At 41.7% G+C, this 21759-nt stretch overlaps 2 protein-coding genes across 14 annotated transcripts in view, besides 2 other annotated features; both read left to right on the forward strand.

Moving 5' to 3' along the window:
* Positions 1–5032, forward strand: part of VPS26A (VPS26 retromer complex component A) — a 50235-nt gene extending 45203 nt beyond the window's left edge. For all 5 annotated transcript variants that reach the window (NM_001318944.2, NM_001318945.2, NM_004896.5 and 2 more), the window contains one exon: positions 1776–5032. In NM_001318944.2, coding sequence (NP_001305873.1) covers positions 1776–1889 — 114 coding nt within the window. In that variant the 3' untranslated portion in view covers positions 1890–5032. The remainder of the gene's footprint in view (positions 1–1775) is intronic.
* Positions 10569–10938: an enhancer, noted in NCBI's record as "active region_3486". NCBI's record gives its function as "activates an Ori minimal core promoter by ATAC-STARR-seq in GM12878 lymphoblastoid cells {active_cell/tissue: GM12878}" and the evidence as "EXISTENCE:reporter gene assay evidence [ECO:0000049][PMID:35858748]".
* SUPV3L1 (Suv3 like RNA helicase) overlaps positions 10854–21759 on the forward strand; it is a 28860-nt gene continuing 17954 nt past the window's right edge. For 3 of the 9 annotated variants that reach the window (NR_136626.2, NM_003171.5, NM_001323587.2), the window contains exons 1-5: positions 10854–11182; positions 16607–16684; positions 17063–17170; positions 18262–18376; positions 19887–20055. Coding sequence is in view for 5 of the 9 variants with exons in the window: in NM_003171.5 (NP_003162.2) it covers positions 10912–11182; positions 16607–16684; positions 17063–17170; positions 18262–18376; positions 19887–20055 (741 nt within the window). In the remaining 4 variants the exon portion in view is untranslated. Of the gene's footprint in view, positions 11183–13139; positions 13275–16558; positions 16685–17062; positions 17171–18013; positions 18087–18261; positions 18377–19886; positions 20056–21759 lie in introns of all 9 variants that reach the window. The other 6 variants (NR_136627.2, NM_001301683.2, NM_001323584.2 and 3 more) reach the window with 4 other exon arrangements.
* Positions 20513–20716: a silencer, noted in NCBI's record as "fragment chr10:70949649-70949852 (GRCh37/hg19 assembly coordinates)". NCBI's record gives its function as "represses an EF-1alpha promoter that drives an FKBP-Casp9 reporter gene in an ReSE screen in K562 erythroleukemia cells {active_cell/tissue: K562}" and the evidence as "EXISTENCE:reporter gene assay evidence [ECO:0000049][PMID:32094911]".

The raw sequence follows: 21759 nt of genomic DNA on the forward strand, positions 1-21759 counted from the left end.
CAATTCTGTCATAATGTCCATGAGATGACTGAATTCTAATAATTTTTTTATTTGAGACAGAGTCTCGCTACAGGTTAATTTTTGTATTTTCTTTTTTGTAGAGACAGGGTTTTGCCATGTTGGCCAGGCTGGTTTCAAACTCCTGGCCTAAAGTGATCTGCCTGCCTTGGCCTCCCAAAGTGCTGGGATTACAGGCGTGAGCCACCATGCCCAGCCTCTAATCCTTTTTTTTTAAGTTTTTTTTTTGAGACAGAGTCTCGCTCTGTTGCCCAGGCTGGAGTGCAGTGGTGCGATCTCAGCTCACTGCAACCTTCACCTCCCGGGTTCAAGCAGTTCTTCCGCCTCAGCCTCCCGAGTAGCTGGGATTATAGGTATGCACCACCACACCCGGCTAATTTTTCTATTTTTAGTAGAGACTGGGTTTCACCATGTTGACCAGGCTGGTCTCGAACTCCTGACCTCAGGTGATCCGCCTGCCTCAGCCTCCCAAAATGCTGGGATTACAGGAATGAGCCACCGCGCCCAACCGCCTCTAATTCTTTGTTTAATATAAAGTGTTCATTACAAACTTGTTCTCATTTGAAAATCAATTAAAAGCTTTTGGTGAATTTTGAATGAAGATAGTAATTAGAATGGTCTTTTGTATTCTGAATCAGATTAATAAACATGTAGTTAAATGTCAGTTGAGTGTTCAAAGCTAAGTTAGAAATTACCCTGTCCTAAGTACTGTGAAAAATACAAAAACTACCTTTTATAAACATGATCTGTCCTCCATGTTCTCACATTGTAGATATCTGGGAAAAAGAAAAATAATATAAACTAACAGAATACTTAAATAATAGCTTGACAGTAATTTAGAAGAGACAAAACCTATTCCAGTATTGCCATCCTAATGTTGTATAATTAAACATACATGATTTATAACTTTGAAATAAATTACATGATTTTTACAATTTCAAAATCAATTGCATATCATGGCACTATTGGAGGTAAGTCTGTTATTTCCCATGTGCACTCATTTGGATGTTTAAATTCTGATATGTTGGGGAAAAAAAAAAGCCTATAATGACTTCATGAAGCAAATAATTTTAGGAATTTAGAAGAGGGAAGTTCTCAGGATGGATTGGTTAGGGTAAGAGTTAGGTAGAGAAATCGAGATTTGAAGACTGGGGAAGATGTAGGGCGAGTTTATTTGGATTGCATTGGAGGCAGAGAGTAACTCCATTTGGCCGATGGGGGAAAATGGTCAAGGGAGGGAAGAGAATAATGTTGGTAAATTGGATAAAGGTTATAGAGGGGCATGAATACCTGTTTGGAGATTTATCCTGGAGGCACTGAGAACTACTAAAGAGCAATCCAAGCAATGTGCTGGAGGATTAACCTGCTAGTGATAATAAAGGATTAGATAGAAAGGGCTCTGCCTCTCTTGCCTCTGAGGAAGCTGTTTTAATATCTAAGTGACAAGAACTTGAATTTGGATGAGGGCAATGAACAATTAAAGGATGGATTTGGGGAATTCTTTAAAGTAACAATAGGACTTCTTGACAGATTGGATTGGTGGTGGTGGAATGCATGGGTGCTGGTGATAGGAGCACTAGAGGTAGAAGGGGCAGTCAAGATTAGAGCTGGAAGAAAGTGGAAAAGAAGTTGGAAAAGAGGAGGGCTTTTGTAGGGAAGAATTTAATTTTATTATGGTTAAAATTGAAGTGGCAATCAATAGAGATAAGGCATCATATCAAACATTAATTTGTTAATATCTTGCATTTGTTTACTAGGAGATAATTTTATGGAGAAAAGCTCCTGAAAAACTGAGGAAACAGAGAACAAACTTTCACCAGCGATTTGAATCTCCAGAATCACAGGCATCTGCCGAACAGCCTGAAATGTGAACTGAACAGGAGAAAAAAAGAAAAGCAAAAAACTCCTGTAACCCTTGAGATTAAGTTCAGCAGGTTAAAGATGGTTGCAGCTGGAGGGGGCGGAAAAAGGCCAAAACTCCATATATGTTAGTCTTCCTTTATCTTACAGCGCAGCATTTATTTTATGATATAATGAAATGTTCGTTCATGTATATACATTTTTAAAAGTGCTTTCTTTGAAACACTGGAACTTTGTTAAGCTGCCTTTTTTTTTTTAACTTCCTACTTTGATGATAAGCACTCAGATATATATCAGCGTAAACATGAAAAATTTTCATGTGAGTAGGCTGGTATTTGTAATTTTGCTTTCTTTCTGCATAATGTTGATTATAAATCCTCTCTTTTCAGGCTAATGATTACCTCTTATTCTCTACATGCAAAAAATTAAATATTTTGTGTTCAAATAAAATTAGAAAACCTGAGTGGCCTCTTGTGTCCTGCAGAGATTTAAAACATGGCATCTCAATATTTTTGAGAACTACATTTGTTTTTAACATATGTGTTTGAGAAAAGCATATGGAGTGTTTCACCGCAGGCACTTCTGAGTACCATTCCATGGCTTCCAGAATTTTATCCTCTTTGAGGTCTTCTGTGCTATGAATATTAGATTTCTTTCCCCAAGGGATTATGTGGCAGGTCATTATGGCCTTCTTTTTTTTGGCCATATTAAGTAACAGTTTTGCTATATTCCAGTAGTACCGTTGTGTGTTTTCTGCAATGTGGAGTTGACTTAGCTTGGCATTTTAGATTTGTTAAAACTATTTTTTCCATAAATACTTTGAAACATATTTATATATTTCAATTTAAGGAATCTTTTTGCCATGTGTATGCAAATATTATTTTCTTCATACATTCATTTTCTTTTCAGGGGAAAATTTTGGGATGGGGGACTCAGGAGGACCTGTGAAGCATGTAGTTATCTAGATCTGGGTAATTTCATGTTTATTAAACTCGAACTTTGGCTAGTTAAACTCATATTGAAACTTCATCTAGTCTCTTAATTTTTTAACACTAAATTCAAGTCATTTGTTTTAAGTCTCTAAAAAAGAAGATTGCAGTCATCCATTCATATGCATGGGGTCTGATCGCAAATACACTAAATGTGGAGTGTAGGAACCAAAATGAAACCTGCTGTATGGAAACTACTTTCACTTATGGTTCATTGGTTTTTGTACCAATATTTTTTATGCACTTCAGTGCAAGTCTTGTCAGTTAACCTTACTTTATGAGTAAGCTAAATAACCCAAATTACATTTCTTTAAACCTGTTTTACTACTATGGCACTTTGATAAAATGGTCAGGAACCAACTTTACTGGCAAAAGGGTCCATGTACCACCATGTGCTGGAGCATCTGTTCTACATGTGGATATCTATGAATGGTAATGTTTTCCTTCATGTAAGTGCCTATTCAGAGTTTCAGAATTTTAAAATGCCAAATATTTTCATGGTCATTTGCATGTAGTAAGCCAGAAAATATTCAAAGAGATTTTGAAAACCAATTGTATTTAACCAGCCTCAAATTGTGCAACCATGATGTATAATAAAGAATTTGAAACAGAAACTGAGCTTGCTGTTTGCATGATTAAAATAGCTCTGTTCTCAAATCTCTTCTCATTGTTAGATTTATTGTCGAGGATAGGATTGTTCAATAGTTTAGGAAGCTGTAACTGTGATAATGAATTTTTATAAATATTACTGGTTTCAATTTTAAATAGATATATAATGCTTTTAATAGGCTGGCTTAAAACTGTCATATACAGGATGCCTATCCGTTTTGCTCAAGACTTTTTGTAGCATAACCAATTTGAAAAAAATTCAAATTTAATATTTGGTGATTTCAGTCAAAAGTCAGCCAGCTAATTAGAAGTCATAAACTGAAAAAGAAATTTGTGTCTTTAATGAAGAGTTACAATGTCTAATCCATTGGTTCTCAACCCTGGCTGCATATCAGAATCACCTTAGAAGCTTTTAAAATAACCAGGCCCGGGTCCTACTCTGACCAATAAAATAAGAATCTCAGAGACTGGGCCATAAGCATTAAAAACAAAACAACCTCAAAAAAATACCTGTCATCTCAGCCACTTCAGGAGTCTGAGGCGGAAGGATCACCTGGAATTCGAGACCAGCCTGGCCAACAAAAATGAGACCCTATCTCTACAAAAAAATTAACAATGAGCTGGGCATGGTGGCATGCACCTGTATTTCCAGCTATTTAGGAAGCTGAGACAGGAAGATCCCTTTGAGAGGTGAAGCCAGCTGGACTTCTGAGTTGCGTGGGGACTTGGAGAACTTTTCTGTCTTACAAGGGGATTGTAGAATGCACCAATCAACACTCTAGCTAGGATTGTAAAACGCACTCTGGCTAGCTGGAGGTTTGTAAAATGTACCAATCAGTGCTTGTGAAAACGCACCAATCAGGCTGGGCACAGTGGCTCACGCCTGTAATCCCAGCACTTTGGGAGGCTGAGGCGGGCAGATCACCTGAGTTCCAGGAGTTCGAGACCAGCCTGACCAACGTGGAGAAACTCCATCTCTACCAAAAATGCATTAGTCGGGCGTGGTGGCACATGCCTGTAATCCCAGCTACTAGGGAGGCTGAGGCAGAATTGCTTGAACCCGGGAGGCAGAGGTTGCAGTGAGCCGAGATCACACCAATGCACTCCAGCCTGGCTAGAAGTTTGTAAAATGGACCAACCAGTGTTCTGTAGAATGGACCAATCAGCAGGACGTGGGCGGGGACAAATAAGAGAATAAAAGCTGGCCACCCCCCAGCCAGCAGCGGCAACCGGCTCGGGTCCCCCTCCATACTGTGGAAGCTCTGTTCTTTCACTCTTCACGATACATCTTGCTGCTGCTCACTCTGGGCCTGTGCCACATTTAAGAGCTGTAACACTCAAGGCGAAGGTCCACGGCTCCGTTAAGTCAGCGAGACCGCAAACCCACTGGAAGGAACCAACTCTGGACACACCTTGAGTACACGAATTTGAAATTACACTGAGGTGATCATGCCACTGCACTGTAGCTTGGGTGACAGAGACACCATGTCTCAAAAATCTACCCAGAGTTGGGAACCACTGATCTAAACCATTAAAATTTTTATTTCTGTCACTAATGAAGAATTTTCTCATTGTTTTGATATTGCTGGGGAAGAAAAACTTTTACCCTCTTAGGATGAGTTCTTGGGGGCCTGCAAATTAAATAAACAAGAGACGTGGCCAGGTGCCTAACTCTTTTGAGAGGCCAGGGTGGAAAGATCGCTTGAGCCCAGGAGTTTGAGACCAGCTTGGGCAACATAAACGGGACCCCAATCTCTACGGAAAAAAAAAAAAAAAACATAGGGGAAGTGGTGGGGCATGAGTACTTACGGGAAAACAAATGACTTAGAAGATATGAAATGAGCTCTTATGAAAATAGATGGAAGATAAAATTTTGTTACAATGTCTGTTCACGTGTGGTACCCATTTATTGTCTCAGGATAAAAGTCAGTCTTTCCTGGTTGCTCCCGGGAAGGGGATTTTTTAGCTCTTTTGAGAGCCCAGGCTTTTAGACAGCTAAGGGATTTCAAAAACAAGTGATTATAAAATTAAAGATGCTCTCATTTAGAAAAAAAATACAGGTCTAAAATATAACACAGTTATGGATTAGAACTGTTATGCAGCTCAGTATTAGAATAAAGCAAAGGTTTTCCAGGAGTGGTATTATGCCCCGGAAAGAAAGCAAGACAGAGCAGGACCACATGGGTACCATCTGTACAAGTTCTACAAATGTGTCTGACAGGTGCCCCATCCCTTCCAGCTCTAACATTTCATGACTCTAACACTAAATCTTTTTTTTTTTTTTTTTTTTAATTTTGAGATGGAGTCTTGCTCTGTCGCCCAGGCTGGAATGCAGTGGTGCAATCTCGGCTTACTGCAACCTCTGCCTCCTGGGTTCAAAGGATTCTCCTACCTCAGCCTCCCGAGTAGGTGGGACTACAGGCACGTGCCACCATGCCTGGCTAATTTTTTGTATTTTTGGTAGAGATGGGGTTTCACTTTATTAGCCAGGATGGTCTCGATCACCTGACCTCACTGAGAGGTGAAGCCAGCTGGACTTCTGGGTCGGGTGGGGACTTGGAGAACTTTTCTGTCTTACAAGAGGATTGTAAAATGCACCAATCAGCACTCTGTAGCTAGGATTGTAAAACGCACCAATTGGCACTCTAGCTAGCTAGAGGTTTGTAAAATGCACCAATCAGCTCTCTGTGGCTAGCTAGAGATTTGTAAAATGGACCAATCAGTGCTCTGTAAAATGGACCAATCAGCACTCTGTAAAATGGGCCAATCAGCAGGACATGGGTGGGGGACAAATAAGGGAATAACAGCTGGCTGCCACCCCCCAACCCCAGCCCCCAGCCAGCAGCAGCAACCCGCTTGGGTCCCCTTCCATGCTGTGGAAGCTTTGTTCTTTCGCTCTTCACGATAATAAATCTTGCTGCTGCTCACTCTTTGGGTCCATGCCACCTTTGAGAGCTGTAACACTCACTGCAAAGGTCCACAGCTTCATTCTTGAAATCAGCAAGACCACGAACCCACTGGAAGGAACAAACTCTGGACACATCGTGGTCCACCTGTCTTGGCCTCCCAAAGTGCTGGGATTACAGGCGTGAGCCACCGTGCCCGGCCAAGAGTAAATCTTAAAAGTTCACTTAGGATAAGCAACAGTTTAGCGTCTAGATCATGATAACCTTAATGTCAGAAAAATACTAGAAACTTCAACTTACAAAATTTGGTAGACAAGGTATGAGAGAGTAATCTACAGGATGTGCTTTTGTGAAACCTACACCAGATTTTGTTAATAGCAAAAGCAGGCCGGGCGCGGTGGCTCACGCCTGTAATCCCAGCACTTTGGGAGGCCGAGGCGGGTGGATCATGAGGTCAGGAGATCGAGACCATCCTGGCTAACACGGTGAAACCCCGTCTCTACTAAAAATACAAAAAAAATTAGCCGGACGTGGTGGCGGGCGCCTGTAGTCCCAGCTACTCGGGAGGCTGAGGCAGGAGAATGGCATGAACCCAGGGGGCAGAGCTTGCAGTGAGCCGAGATTGCGCCACTGCACTCCCGCCTGGTGACAGAGCAAGACTCCGTCTCAAAAAAAAAAACAAAAAACAAAAAACAAAAAACAGCAAAAGCAAAGGCGAAGAAGAAATTAACTTGTATTATTTCTGCCACCTAGGTTATCTTCTCCCACTTCCTTTCCCCTTCTATTTATTTCCGTATTCATGCATGGATTTAGCATATTTACAGACTATCAGTTAGTGCTTGCTATGGTTTGAATGTGTCCCCTAAATTTTTTGTGTTGGAACTTAATCATCAAATTCATATATTGATTGGAGGTGAGGCCTTTGGGAAGTAATTAGGATTAGATAAAAGTTCTCAGTGTGGGTCCCCCATGATGTGACTGGTGGCTTCGTAAGAAAAGAGAAACCTGAGTTGACACACAGGTCTTGCTCTCTGGCCATGTGATGCCTTCTACCAGGTTATGTCAAGAGGGCCATCACCAGATGCCAGCCTCTTGATCTTGGACTTCCTAGCCTCCAGAACTAAAAGAAATAAATTCATTTTCTTTACAAATTACTCAGTCTGTGGTGTTCTGTTATAGCAATGCAAAATGGAGTAAGTGTTATCTTGGCCCTATCCTGAAGGAACTTTAATCCAGAGCAGTGGTTCTCAAAAGTGTGGTCTCAGACCAGCAGAGTTGCATCATCTGAAATGTTTTAGAAATGTAAACTCTCAGATCCCACTCCAGATCTACTGAATCAGAAACTTCAGGGATGGGGCCCAACAATCTTGTTGCACTCTAACGTTTAAGAACCACTGACCCAGAGACACAATTACGATAGTTTTCATTCTATGATAGAGCCTCTACTGGGACCTGTGATATGTAAGAGAAGCACCCAGTGTGTTCAGAGGTGCAGAGGTAAGAAACGATGATATAACTGGTGTATAGTTCCAGCATGAATAGAATGGTAGATGTGGGGAGTAGAAATAAAGCTGGAAGAGGCATATAGGGCCAACCAATTTAGGACAGAACCTGGATGCCATACGATGGAATATGGGCTTTATCTGAACATTTATTCAGAATCACCAAAGGACTCTAAGCAGGAGTAACTTACCAGATTTGTGTTTTCAAAAGATCATTATGGTGCTACGGCAAAGTATAGGAGGATACCAGTTACATAGTTACTGCATTAATCCATTCAACAAGCAAAATAAAACATTTATAGAGGCTCTAATATGTGTTAGGTGCTGATTACACTTACTGCTATAAATATGACATAACCAGTATAGATATGACATCTTTTTTTGTAAAAGCAAAAATTTTATATTGAATTTTCCCATTTCAATGTTTATAGTAGAACTTAATGAATGGCTGAAAGGGAAAGCCTGTATGTGCTATCATAAAATTCAGATTGCATTTTCTACCTGCAAGGAGGTGCAAACAAAATTACAGTTAAAATAGTTTTGAGGATTTTTTTTTTCTGTAAAACTATACTAGGGTTGGGCTAGATCTGTAAGACTAGTAACTGCCAGGTGCTGTGGCATGCACCTGTAGTTCCAGTTACTCAGGAGGCTGACACAGGATTGCTTGAGCCCAGGAGTTCACGATCACCCTTCCAAAGAAAAAAAAAGACTCGTACAAATGTTGATTCTGGCCTAATATGCTGCTCCTGTCCAAAAAGCCCACCTATTTGCTTTGAAATCAGAAAGACTGGCTGGGCACGGTGGCTCACACCTGTAATCCCAGCACTTTGGGAGGCCGAGGCAGCTGGATCACTTGAGGCCAGGAGTTCTGAGACCAGCCTGGCCAACATGGTGAAACTAAAGAGAATACAAAAATTAGCCAGGTATTGTGGTGCAAGCCTGTAGTCCCAGCTACTCGGGAGGCTGAGGCATGAGAATTGCTTGAGCCTGGGAGGTGGACGTTGCAGTGAGTTATGATTGCACCACTGCACTTCAGCCTGGGCAACAGAGTGAGACTGTCTCAAAAAAAAGAAAAAAAAAAGATTTAGATTTGTATCTGACTCTACCACTTACTGGGGCAAGTTAGTTAACCTGGTGACAATAATACCTCTAAATTGTTGTCAAGCATATTAAAAGATTAAAAGGAACAACATAGTGCTTGCCTCAGTTACGTATTAAACGTTTGGTTTATCCTTCATTCTCCTAGTTTCCAAATCTGACGAGACATCATTGTTTATTAACATTTTCTAGCATATTTAGTCACTCACTACATTATCTAAGGAGTCTTGTAAAACCTCTCATTCCACATACATGGTCTCCATCATAACTCAGACACAGGAATCTACCACCTTCAGCTAGAACTGTTGATAAAGTTGTAATTTTCCTCCCTGCATATTTGTGTTTATCCTAGTCTATCCTAGGTACTTCCTAATGAATGATTTCTCTTCTCAAAAATATAATCACTATTTGTAAGCCATAGAATTAGGTCTGCGTTAACTCTGTTACTTAAATTTTTTTCAGTATGTCTTTTCCTTAGTTAAGCCTCTGCTTACATCGTTTCCACTGACTAGAATTTACTTACCGCTTCTCTATGTTTTACTTTTAAGTCTGGCAGAAATCTCCTTACCACTCTCAAATTGCTCCTTTCTTTGAACTGCCATTAGTCTATTAGAGTAATAAGTGCATTATTTAACGTGTACTGTTCTTACCACCAAAACCAGATCAGAACCTTTGAAAGCAAAGGACTGTCTCCTTGTATCCCTGATGTTTAAAAATTATTTTGTGAATCAAAGGCACGTGGCAAATTGTTACTGGAATCCTATTAGACATACAGTATTGTATATTACATAACACGTTCCTTCAAGTTGTAAGATCTTAATGATGTAAGTATAAAGAGATGTGGATGGAGATGCTAAACTTGTGAATTTTTTTTTTTTTTAGACGGAGTCTCACTCTGTTGCCCAGGCTGGAGAGCAGTGGCCCGATCTCGGCTCACTGCAACCTCTGGCACCCAGGTTCAAACGATTCTCCTGCCTCCGCCTCCCTAGTAATTGGGATTACAGGTGTGCACCACCACGCCCGGCTGATTCTTGTATTTTTAGTAGAGAGGGGATTTCACCATGTTTGCCAGGCTGGTCTCGAACTCCTGACCTCAGATGATCCACCGGCCTCGCCCTCCCTAAGTGCTGCGATTACAGGCGTGAACCACCACGCCCGGGTTAAACTTGTGAATTTAACATGTTGCAGCCTCACATGAGAACACGGTATTCAACAAATGCAATGGAACGAAACTATGGCTGGGGTACAGAGCACGTATTTTTGCCATGTGGTCACAACTATGTGGTCATAGCTGCTAGGATGATGTACGCAAACTGCTCACATTAAAGCAAAAGTACTTACGTAATACAAGGGGTTTAATAGTGCAACAATATTTCTTAGCAACATTTCTGAGGGGCATATCAAGTTATTATCGCTAACGTTATCATATCAGGAAATGACGGTTAACAATGCAAGAAACTTTTGGGAAATGCTATTTAGTGTTTGAGTCCGCAAGACATACTCGTACCCTGAGCATTCGCAGTTGCTGCTCCACCACCCATTCTCTCACTGCTCACCCACGTGCTTCTGGACACTTGCTTACCAAAGTACTAGTTTGCATCACGTGACACGACTAGCAGGCCCCCTCCGCTCATGTATGACATCCCAAAGATGCCTGATTATTTTCCCTTCTTTAGGGAAAGGTGGTCCCAATCACCAACAAAACAGAGAAAGAGAACGAGAATTATCTCTAGTGGTTTTGCCTGCTAATCTTCTTTTTCCCTGAAAGAACACCCTCACGGCACGGCGTTTTCCTTAACGGTCAGGCGTTTTCCCGGGCAGCTTACCTGCTCGGCCTGGGTCTTTCTGGACAGCAGGCGCTGGAGGTGCGCGTCACTGTCCGCCGCCGTGTCCGCGGCTGCGCCAGACAGTGTAGAACCTGCGGCCTCGATGTCCTTCTCCCGTGCCCTATTGTGGGCTCGGCTCCCGGCGGGGCGCCAGGCTGGCCACCGGGCAGCCATCTGCTCTGCCCTTCGTCCCCACTTTGGGCCCTTTCCCGGGGTTCTGGGGCAAGTTTCTGTCCTTGCCACCGCCTCCTCCTCTGCCTCCGGTGGCTCCAAAATACCAAACACGTCCTTGTTCGTGCCCCTGACTGTGAAACCTCAGGGCCCCAGCGCCGACGGCGACGTCGGGGCCGAGCTAACCCGGCCTCTGGACAAGAGTGAGTGCGGGAACTACTGAGGGCGGCAGAGGGTGGTGTCTGCTGGGCCGAGGCTGGTTGGGAGGAAGCTACATCCCCTTCCCCTGGGGATCCGAGGTCCCATCGAGTGTTGTCATCGTGCCTCTCAGTGTCTGCCTCCTTCGCTGGTGTGTGAGCCCCTCAAACGGCTTAGGACTGTATCTGATTAATTCTTAACGCCTCGTCCCAGAAGCGGCCTTTTCCCTTTTACTGCCCTGCTCTCTGAATGGTTTAGACACTCATGTGTTGGGAAGATTTGACTTTTTTGAGTTGTTAGGTGGACGCCCGCTCTTTCTTGCATTCTTTGTTTCTCTCCCACCCCCGAATGGGATGTGGCAGTGAAAAGCCAGCGGAGACTCCTTTTAGGATTCTTTATCATTGAGGAGGCGCCGACTCATACCACGCTGTTAGGCTGTGTGGTGGTTGCCAAGAGGAACCAGACTCAGATCCAGATCCCCTCTTAAGAAACGTAACGGTATCGTGGGGGAGGACACGTGTATGGAAAGTGAACTGTAATACAAGGTAGAACATGACAAGGTCTAGAACAAGGTAGGGTGTCCCCGGCTCCAGAGAGAAAAGAAGAGGTAGCATCAGTTAGTGGCAGCGGGCTTTGCTCAGCAAAACTTAAGTTTGGATGGATTCGTTGACAGAGAGGCATGTGAATGTTTTCAAGGTGAGTTTCGGGATGATTAGGGAGGTAAGGGAGTTTCCTCTGACCATATGAAACTGGGAGATTGAGGAAATGCTATCCAGAATTGTCTCCAGGAATAGGAGGAGAAATGTCTCACTTCAACAAGCGACATTGGTGCCTCCTATTGTAAATCTAAAATATAGACTACAATATGTTTTTCAGAGCAGAAGTACAGTACTTTCACTAAACATGTGATGGAACTCACAGTATATGTTATTCTTTGACATATTCTTCCAGTGTTAAGCAAGGCCTTTCACTTTACTTGGTGCTGGGAGACTGTCTTTATTTTCTGCTGTTATAACATAATACCTGAGACTGAGTAATTTATAAACAATAGAGGTGTATTTGACTCATGGTTCTGAGCCGGGATCTGATGAGGGCCTTTGGCTGCATCATCACATGGTGGAAGGTGGAAAGGCAAATGAGCCTGTGAGACAGAGAAAGGGGGCTGAACTTATCCTTTTTTCCTGTGATAACTGACTCCTGTGATAATGGCATTAATCCACTCACAAAGGCAAACTCCTCATGTCCTAATCACCTCTTAAAGGTTCCACCTCTCAACTGTTAAAATAGCAATTAAATTTCAATATGAGTCTTGGAGAAGACATTCAAACCATAGCAGAGAATGTGTTATTTTAATAATGTAATTATACTATTATTTATTTTTAAATTATAAAAATACATAAAATTTACTCTTTTAAGCTTTTTTTTAGTTTTTTTTTCTTTACTTTTTTTTTTTTAGAGACAGGGTCTTGCTCTGTTACCCAAGCTGGAGTATAGTGGTATGATCATAGCTCACTGTAACCTCCAACTCCCAGACTCAAGCAATCCTCCTGGCTCAGCCTTCTAAGTAGCTAGGAATACAGGCGTGCATCACCATGCCTGGATAATTTTTTAATTTTTTGTAGAGATGGGGTCTTGCTATGTTGCCCAGGCTGGTCTCAAACTTCTGGGCTCCAGGGATCCTCCTGCCATGGCCTCCCAAAGCCCTGAGATTACAGACCTGAGCCACTGCACCCAGCCAGTCTTAATTGTTTTTAAGCACATAGTTCACTAGCGTTAAGTATATTGACATTGTCGCGAAATAGATGAGAACTTTTTCATCTTGCAGAGTTGAAACTCAAACAATAGTTTACCCATTAAAGAACAATTTTCCATTATTTTATATTATTTGAAGGCATAAGGTAATTTGGATGAGATAATTTGCCTTATTGTATTCAAATATTGATAAATTCTTATTTTCTGCAGCTATTCCAATTCACCTGAAAATGTAAATGTCTTTGCTGCTTCCTGTAAGAAGATAGAATAAAGACATGGGTTTGTCAGCACTAGATTTTCTTCTGGTGGAGAATCCTTAGATACTTCATTGGGTCTGTGTGCCAGGTGATTTTTCATCTCCTTTGACTGGGATTGGTCCAGATGTTGAATTTACTAGAATGATTTTTCAGCATGGCAGGAGGGGCTACAGAAGATGGTGCATTACTACACTCTGATATAGCCATGTGGTTAAGGTGTCAGATTTCCACTTAGCTTAGCAATCAGGACAAGAAGCTGTCACTTCTCAATCTCTTTTGCCTACTCATAACCCAAAAAGTTGAGGTACTTAAAGGCTTTGTCCTGCGTCACCTTGCTGCCTTATTCTGTGCTGTCTATGGGGTGTCTCATTCTCTCTCTCCCCTCACTAATTCAGTATTCCTCTCAGATCTTTGTCTCTACCCTGGACCTCTCTCCTTCACCCTGGACCTATATATCTCGCTGCCTACCAGGTGTCTCCACTTGTCTTTCTTACACACACCTCACCTTAGCATGTCAAGACAACTTACCTTCCCCTCAGCCTGCTCCTGCAGGTGCTCAGGTCAAAACCTGGTAGTCTTTGTTCTTCCATCCCTCACCCCTACATCTAACAATCAGAGAAAGCCCAGTTAATGAGTCTTGTTGATTCTACCTCATAAATGTTGGATTCATTCATTTCCCTCATTCTCCACTGCAACCAGCTTAGTCTAAATTGCCAGCTTCCATCTTTTGACTGGACTGCACATATAGCCCCTTATGTGTCTCCTCATATGCCTTTGATCCCTTCATTCTATTCTCTACCTGCAGTCAGAATGTTCTTTTAAAAAGACTAGGCTGGGCGCAGTGTCTCGTGCCTGCAATCCCAGCACTTTGGGAGGCCCAGGAGGGTGGATCGCTTGAGCCCAGGAGCTCAAGACGAGCTTGGGCAACATGGCAAAACTCCATCTCTACAAAAAATACAGAAATTAGCCAGGCATGATGGTGTGTGCCTGTAGTTCCAGCTACTTGGGAGGCTGAGGTGGGAGGGTTGCTTGAGCTTGGGTAGTAGTAGAGGTTGCAGTGAGCCGAGATTGCACCACCACACTCCAGCCTGGGTGACAAGAGTGAGACCCTGTCTCAAATAAAAAAAGAAAGATACAATTTTAATTTACATACTAGAAAGCTCACCCTTTAAAAGTGTATAATTCACTGGGTTTTAGTGTATTTGCAGGATTGTACAATCATCACCATAATTTCATTTTAGAACATTTTTATCACCCTAAAAAGAAACCTGATATCTGTTAGCAAGTCACTCTCTAGTTCCCCAGTCCCCAGTGTCTTTTTTTTTTTTTTAGCTCCAGATAACCACTAATCCACATTCTGTCTGTTGATTTGCCTGTTTTGTGTATTTCATATTTATAGTGTCATATAGTATTGGTCTTTTGTAACTGGTTTCTTTTACTTAGCATAATGAGAAATTTCACATTTTGGAAGCATTTTAATTTGAGTAAAGCAGCATGAATCTTATATAACACCGTAGTATTAGTCACAGAAAATAGGTTAATTCTAAATAAATGTGATCTGTCTTTAGTTTGTATCGAGTTTATAGGTCAGCAGAATTTTCCCAAGCAATGATGGCATGTGCCTTTTTCCAATCTTTTATTTGTCATTGGTTTTTCTACCCTTGATACCAAGAAACTGTTGGCCAGGTGCAGTGGCTCACGCCTGTAATCCCAGCACTTTGGGAGGCTGAGGCTGGCAGATCACCTGAGGTCAGGAGTTCGAGACCGGCCTGACCAACATGGAGAAACCCTGTCTCTACTAAAAATACAAAATTAGTCGGGCATGGTGCATGGTGATGCATGCCTGTAATCCCAGCTACTTGGGAGGCTGAGGCAGGAGAATCTCTTGAGCCCGAAAGGCGGAGGTTGCAGTGAGCTGAGATCGCGCCATTGCCCTCCAGCCTGGGCAACAAGAGTGAAACACTGTCTCCAAGAAAAAAAGAAACTGTTGTTCCTACCCGGCACAAAGTAACAGAGACCCAGAAATCTGCCTGTGATCTGAAATATAAATACACACACACACACACACACACACACACACACACACTGTGTGTGTATGTGTATCTCATATTTAATTGTGGGCAGATCTAGTGATTCTGAAATTTCCTCATTCTGTCAAACAGTTTTATTAGTGGAATGCTTTGTTCAGGCTTGATTTCTTCAATGAGTGTTGTGTGTGTTGGACTGTGTGAAAATGTGGTTGGCACATTTGTGAAAGGTAAAAATACAGGTCACTTGGCCTTTCTGAATTTCATGGGTAAAGGCTGTGTCCTCATTGTGGCTTCTCCTCCTAGAAATACATAGTGTGTGACTGAGTCAGTAAAATGTTTATTGAATAATGCTGTAGTATTTTAACATATACAACCATAATACAATCTCAGCTTGATTAGTTTAAAATACTTTTACCTCTAAGATTATTGATTCATAGTGGCATGTTATCTCCCAATAGCATAGACATTTCTCTGCCGTCACCCTTGACAGTCATCTAACCCTTGCTTGAGTAATTCCATTGGCAAGGAGCTCTCACTTTTCACTGTTCTAATTGTTAGGAAGTTCTTGTATAAATTCCACTGAAATCTGCTCCCACTGACTTTAGTTATGCCATCTAGCACAAAACAAGTGTAATCTTTTATCCCTGAAATCATCATCCTCAAACTTAACATCAGCGTGGCTTCCTTAAGCATGAGGATCTGGTCCTTGCTATATTGGTTGTCTTTCTGGATGTGTTTTAGCTGCTCACTGTTTGGATGTGCAGAATCGTTATAAGTGAATGACAGTGTGGCTCTCTACCTATAAGTGGCCTGGTGAAGGCTTGAGGCTGCCTCTCATCCCAGAGTGCATTGCTCATTCCTCTATGGTATAACAGGGTGCTGCATTATTTGACTCGATCATTTTTCTCTTTTTTTTTTTTTTTGAGACGGAGACTCGCTCTGTCTCCTAGGCTGGAGTGCAGTGGGCCCATCTCGGCTCACTGCAAGCTCCGCCTCCCGGGTTCATGCCATTCTCCTGCCTCAGCCTCCTGGGTAGCTGGGACTACAGGCGCCCAATAACAGGCCCAGCTAATTTTTGTATTTTTAGTAGAGACGGGGTTTCACCATGTTAGCCAGGATGGTCTCTATCTCCTGACCTCGTGATCCGCCCACCTCAGCCTCCCAAAGTGCTGGGATTACAGGCGTGAGCCACCGTGCCCGGCCAACTCGATCATTTTTCTTAACACTCCCATCGCATATGAATTCATAAAGAAGGATCGACTAAAACCTTCTAGTTCTTGCAACACTCATTAGACTGCTGCCTTTAGTGTTATTGCTTCAAGTTTCTTTTGCTTTTTTTCAGCATTTATCTAAGATAAGGAAACGTTAAATTTTGACATCTCTCTTCTAGATGAAGTAAAGAAGGTCTTAGACAAATTTTACAAGAGGAAAGAAATTCAGAAACTGGGTGCTGATTATGGACTTGATGGTAAGGCCCAAAACATCTTCATAGAGGTATTTTATTACCTCTTACGGTACAGCTTGGTCAGGACTGTACGACCCCTCATGTGACCTGGCTGTTGTAGTCTGGAGACACGTCCCTGCTCTTTGCTTCTGGCTGAGTGGGAGACTGGCGAGGCTCACCTGGTGAGCCATACTGCACGGCAGAGGAGCTGCAGCTGCGGCCTTCCTTCATGCTGTGCTAGGACTTCAGTTTTAGCCCAGATCATAATAAACCAGCTGTACTGCCAAAAAAAAAAAAAAAAAAAGAAAAAAAAAGACTCTTTGATGAGTTTGGTGTGGTGTGTCTGTGTGCTTTTTAAAATGAGAACTACACCTTACATCTTTTCATTTTGTGTTTCTACAGCTCGTCTCTTCCACCAAGCTTTCATAAGCTTTAGAAATTATATTATGCAGTCTCATTCCCTGGATGTGGACATTCACATTGTTTTGAATGATATTTGCTTCGGTGCAGGCAAGTGTTTAGAGACTTTTTAAAATCCTATTGAACATACCTTCTATTTCTTCTCATACTTCATGCTCATTTCTCTAGAAGGGCTTATTTGGTTTAGAGTGGGTCTGGTAACATCCTCTGTAAATAATTCAGTGCTTTCACAGGATGACTTCTAGGTTGTTTGCTTTTATATTGGGTCCCTGAGCTGGTTATTACATCACCCATATGTCTTAGACTGGAGGAAGACTGGGGCCCAGTGAAATAAGCTCTCACACAAGTTGGAATTAGTGCATAGCAGATTCCATCTGTTTTTGCCACTGGCTTCCTTCTCCCTCATATCAGGACAAAGTTCTTGCTATAAAAGAAAAAAAAAAAGTCAAAATATCATAGTTTCATTCCCACAGGCAGTTTGGCTTTGGTTATGTATTTGACTCTTAGACCTGTACCTTGTGCCCAGCACTGAGGATACAACGCAGAATGGGACATGCCCCAGCCTCCTCTCAGAGCCACTAAGATGTGGAGAATTCTTGCTGAGGAACAAACACATGTTTTTGCCTGTCTGTGGTTTTCGAAGTTTAAAAAATGTTTGCGCCTTCATCTCTGTAATGTACATGTCTAGGTTCTTTATTTTTAATTTAACTTTTGCCAATGCTAATCTTTGCCTGTTTGTACTAAAGGAGTAGGACGTGGTGGTTGCTAGCCAATTTCCTGAAAATATAAATTAAAAGGAAAAAGTAAGACAAAACAGGATCCCAGAAAAGGATAAGGCCTGTAACCTCAGGACTTTTCTACTTTTTTTTTTCTTTTCTTCCTTTTTTTTTTTTTTTTTTTTTTTTTGTGACACGGTCTCACTCTGTCACCCAGGCTCTGGAGTGCAGTGGCTCAGTCTCAGCTCAGTGTGTAGCCTCAACCTCCTGGGCTCAAGCCATCCTTCCAGGTCAGCTTTCCAAAGTGGTGGGATTGTTGACGTGAGCTACTGTGCCCAGAGAGGACTTTTCTTTTTACCCTGGCAGTGCCCCCGCAACTTAGCTTGTTAAGAAAAAAGATTTCACTAAATTTAGTTACGAATTTTATGTAGATTGCACATGTTAATACAGTGTTTTATTTTCCAGCTCATGCGGATGATTTATTCCCATTTTTCTTGAGACATGCCAAACAAATATTTCCTGTGTTGGACTGTAAGGATGATCTACGTAAAATCAGTGACTTAAGAATACCACCTAACTGGTTAGTTTCTCCATTTGTGGATTTGAAATTTTCAGTTTCTAATCTTGGATGATTCGTGGTCATTATTTTTTTTTATTGTATTCTAGATAACAAATTATAAGGAGTCTGGATTAGGTTGTTTTCCTAAAATAAAAAGAGGCAGTTAACTCTTTTAGGCAATTCACTGGTATCTTACCTTGATCCGGATTGAGTGTGGTTTTAGGTTTTATTAGGGCAGATCTAGAATAGCCCTGACTTAAGGATGTTGTCCTTAAGTGTAAGCTATGGCCTTCCTGGTGTTTTAGCTGAGCGCCTGGGTGTTAATGAGTTCTTTCCACCATGGCTGGAACTGCAACATCACCTAGCACTTGAGACGTCTTTGAGACTTTCCACTGAAACCCTTGGTAGGCTGCTCATTCCTAGACCCTGCCGATTCTTACCTTGTACATGGTTAGCCCAGCCCTTGGCCAGGAATTCGCAGGGAACCCCCACACAGACTTCTGGGCTCTCCTTCTATGCACCCTTCTCTTCCACAGTCTATTCTTCACATTTTAGCTGCTGAAGCAGCTCTGAACTTAATCTCTGCTGCTCGCTTCAGTGGGACTGTCATATTCTGCTTGGGTTCCACCTCCCTATGCCTTGCTGGGGTGCAGTACGGCTCATCCCAAGTGTTCTTTTCTTTCAAGGATTGCAGTCCTGCACTGCCTTGTGGCCCATGTCCCCACACATTTATTGCATGTATTTTGCCCCACTTTGTACTTGATTTTTTTTGTTTGTTTTTGAGAGAGAGTCTCACTCTGTCACCCAGGCTGGAGTGCAGTGGTGCGTTCTCGGCTCACTGCAACCTGCACCTCACAGGTTCAAGTGATTCTCCTGCCTCAGCCTCCTGAGTAGCTGGGATTACAGGCGTGTGCTACCACACCTGGTTAATTTTTGTATTTTTAATAGATACGGGGGCTCACCATGTTGGCCAGGCTGGTCTCGAGCTCCTGACCTCAAGTGATCCTCCTGCCTTGACCTCCCAAAGTGCTGGGATTACAGGCGTGAGCCACCATGCCTCGCCTGTACTTGTTTTTAGTGGGAGGGCAAGTCTAGTGCCAGTTATTCCACTATGGCCAGAGGTAGAAGACTCTGTTATTATATTTGTGTATGTTGGAATTCAGGGGCCTGGGAATGTTTGCCTTTAGAGTTATGTGTTTAGAGCTGTGGGAATGATGTGAACATAGTATGGAACTGATAGCAGCTTAAATTTATTTTTAGTAACCGCTGAGAAAAAGAGATTTGTACAATGGGAAAAATTTCCAAGACATTAATTTGCATTTGGGTTTTTCTGTCCTCTAGTTAGTAAATGCTATTCTTGGAAACCAGTCATTATTTTAATGTGGATATGAAACCCATTGTTTAGTTTTTCAAAGACTTGATCTTGTGAACATTAAGAGGATATTTCATTTGGAATTTGTTTCATTTGCTGTCTTTGCCAGGATGGATTTTGAGGTTAATGGATTAAGCTGTTTACCTACTCATGTTTTAGGTACCCAGATGCTAGAGCCATGCAGCGGAAGATAATATTTCATTCAGGCCCCACAAACAGTGGAAAGACTTATCACGCAATCCAGAAATACTTCTCAGCAAAGTCTGGAGTGTATTGTGGCCCTCTAAAATTACTGGCACATGAGATCTTCGAAAAGAGTAATGCTGCTGTCAGTATATTACCAAATATTTGCTCATTTTTTTCTTAATTTTCTTTTTTGGTGGGAGTGGGAAAAGATGTTTGTAGTAATTTACTGTTAACAAGAAATTACCATATTTCATTGTGTCTAAGAGGCTGTCAATTGTAAGATGTACCATTATTTTATATACAGTTAAGAAAGAAAAAGATGCTACCAACTGACTCTGACATGCTATCAATTCTTTTTTTTTTTTTTTTTTGAGATGGAGTCTCGCTTTGTCACCCAGGCTGGAGTGCAGTGGTGCGATCTTGGCTCACTGCAAGCTCCGCCTCTCGGGTTCATGCCATTCTCTTGCCTCAGCCTCCCCAGTAGCTGGGACTACAGGCGCCCACCACCACGCCTGGCTAATTTTTTGTATTTTTAGTAGAGACGGGGTTTCACCATGTTAGCCAGGATGGTCTCAATCTCCTGACCTCGTGATCTGCCCGTCTCGGCCTCCCAAAGTGCTGGGATTACAGGCGTGAGCCACCGCACCCAGCTCTATCAATTCTTAAGATGCATCTTGATTTCAGAGATACAAAAACATGAAAACATGTGCCAGTACAGTGAATGAAATACAATATTGAAGAACATTTTACATATGTAGAGAAATGCAGAAAGTAACATACAAATAAGCTTGAACCTATTACACCACCTCATCATATCTTTACATTTTATCATACTTGCTTCACTTACTTTTTTAAGAAATAAAATATTGTTGCTACTCTCAAAACTCTGTAGTCCTTTGCCCCATCAGAGTTAAGCACTACTCTATGATATTTAATTTACCTTTTATAGATTAGACCTCTGATGCTATCAGCTAGAGCTAATGATAAAGACTGAAGCTACCTTTTCAAAACTGAAAGGACTGAAGCCCTGTAGTCTGAGGCATCATTTTCACTAAATGGGCTACATTTTGGTTCATTGTTTTATTATGACTTTATAATGTGAGTTTAACCAGTTTTGGTAGGTAATTTGCATTCTCTTTTTTTTTTTCTGAACAGTTTGAGCAATTTACATACATAATACCTCTTTATCTGTAAATACTTGAGAATATGTTTCCTCAGAACAGACTTTTACGTAACCACAGGATATTTGTCTGAAGCAGGACATTTAATATTGATAGATTACTCTTACTTAATACACAATCTATATTCAAATTTTATCAATTGTCCAATTACACCCCATCCTCCACCCCTCCAGGGTTCTTTTCAGGGTCTTACACTGTATTTAGTTGTCATATCTCTAGTTTCCATTAATCTTGGACAGTTCCTCAGTCTTCCTTTGTCTTTCATAACCTGTACATTTTGGAAGACTATAGGTCAGTTGTGTTGTGAACTGTCTCTCAGTTTGGATGTGTCTGGTGTTTCCCCATGATTAGATTCAGGCTATTATGATGACCAGCCATCCCAGTTTGCCTGGACTTCTCCAGATTTAGCACCAAGAGTCCTCCATTCTGGGGAACCCATTAGTCCTAGACAAACCAGAATGGTTGATCACCCTGATACAGCATTAATGTTGGTCCCTCTCAGGGAATTATAATAGGAGGTCTTTACATTCTTAAATTGTATTTATAATGTTCTTCTTGAATATAGAAACAACTCATTTTAATGAAGTCAAATAGTTCAGAGATGTACAAAGTTAAAATGTGAAACTGCTGCAGTGTCTCATGCTTTTGTTACCTGAGGATTTAGC

Source organism: Homo sapiens, chromosome 10 (assembly GCF_000001405.40).
Source record: "Homo sapiens chromosome 10, GRCh38.p14 Primary Assembly".
Lineage (NCBI taxonomy): Eukaryota > Metazoa > Chordata > Mammalia > Primates > Hominidae > Homo > Homo sapiens.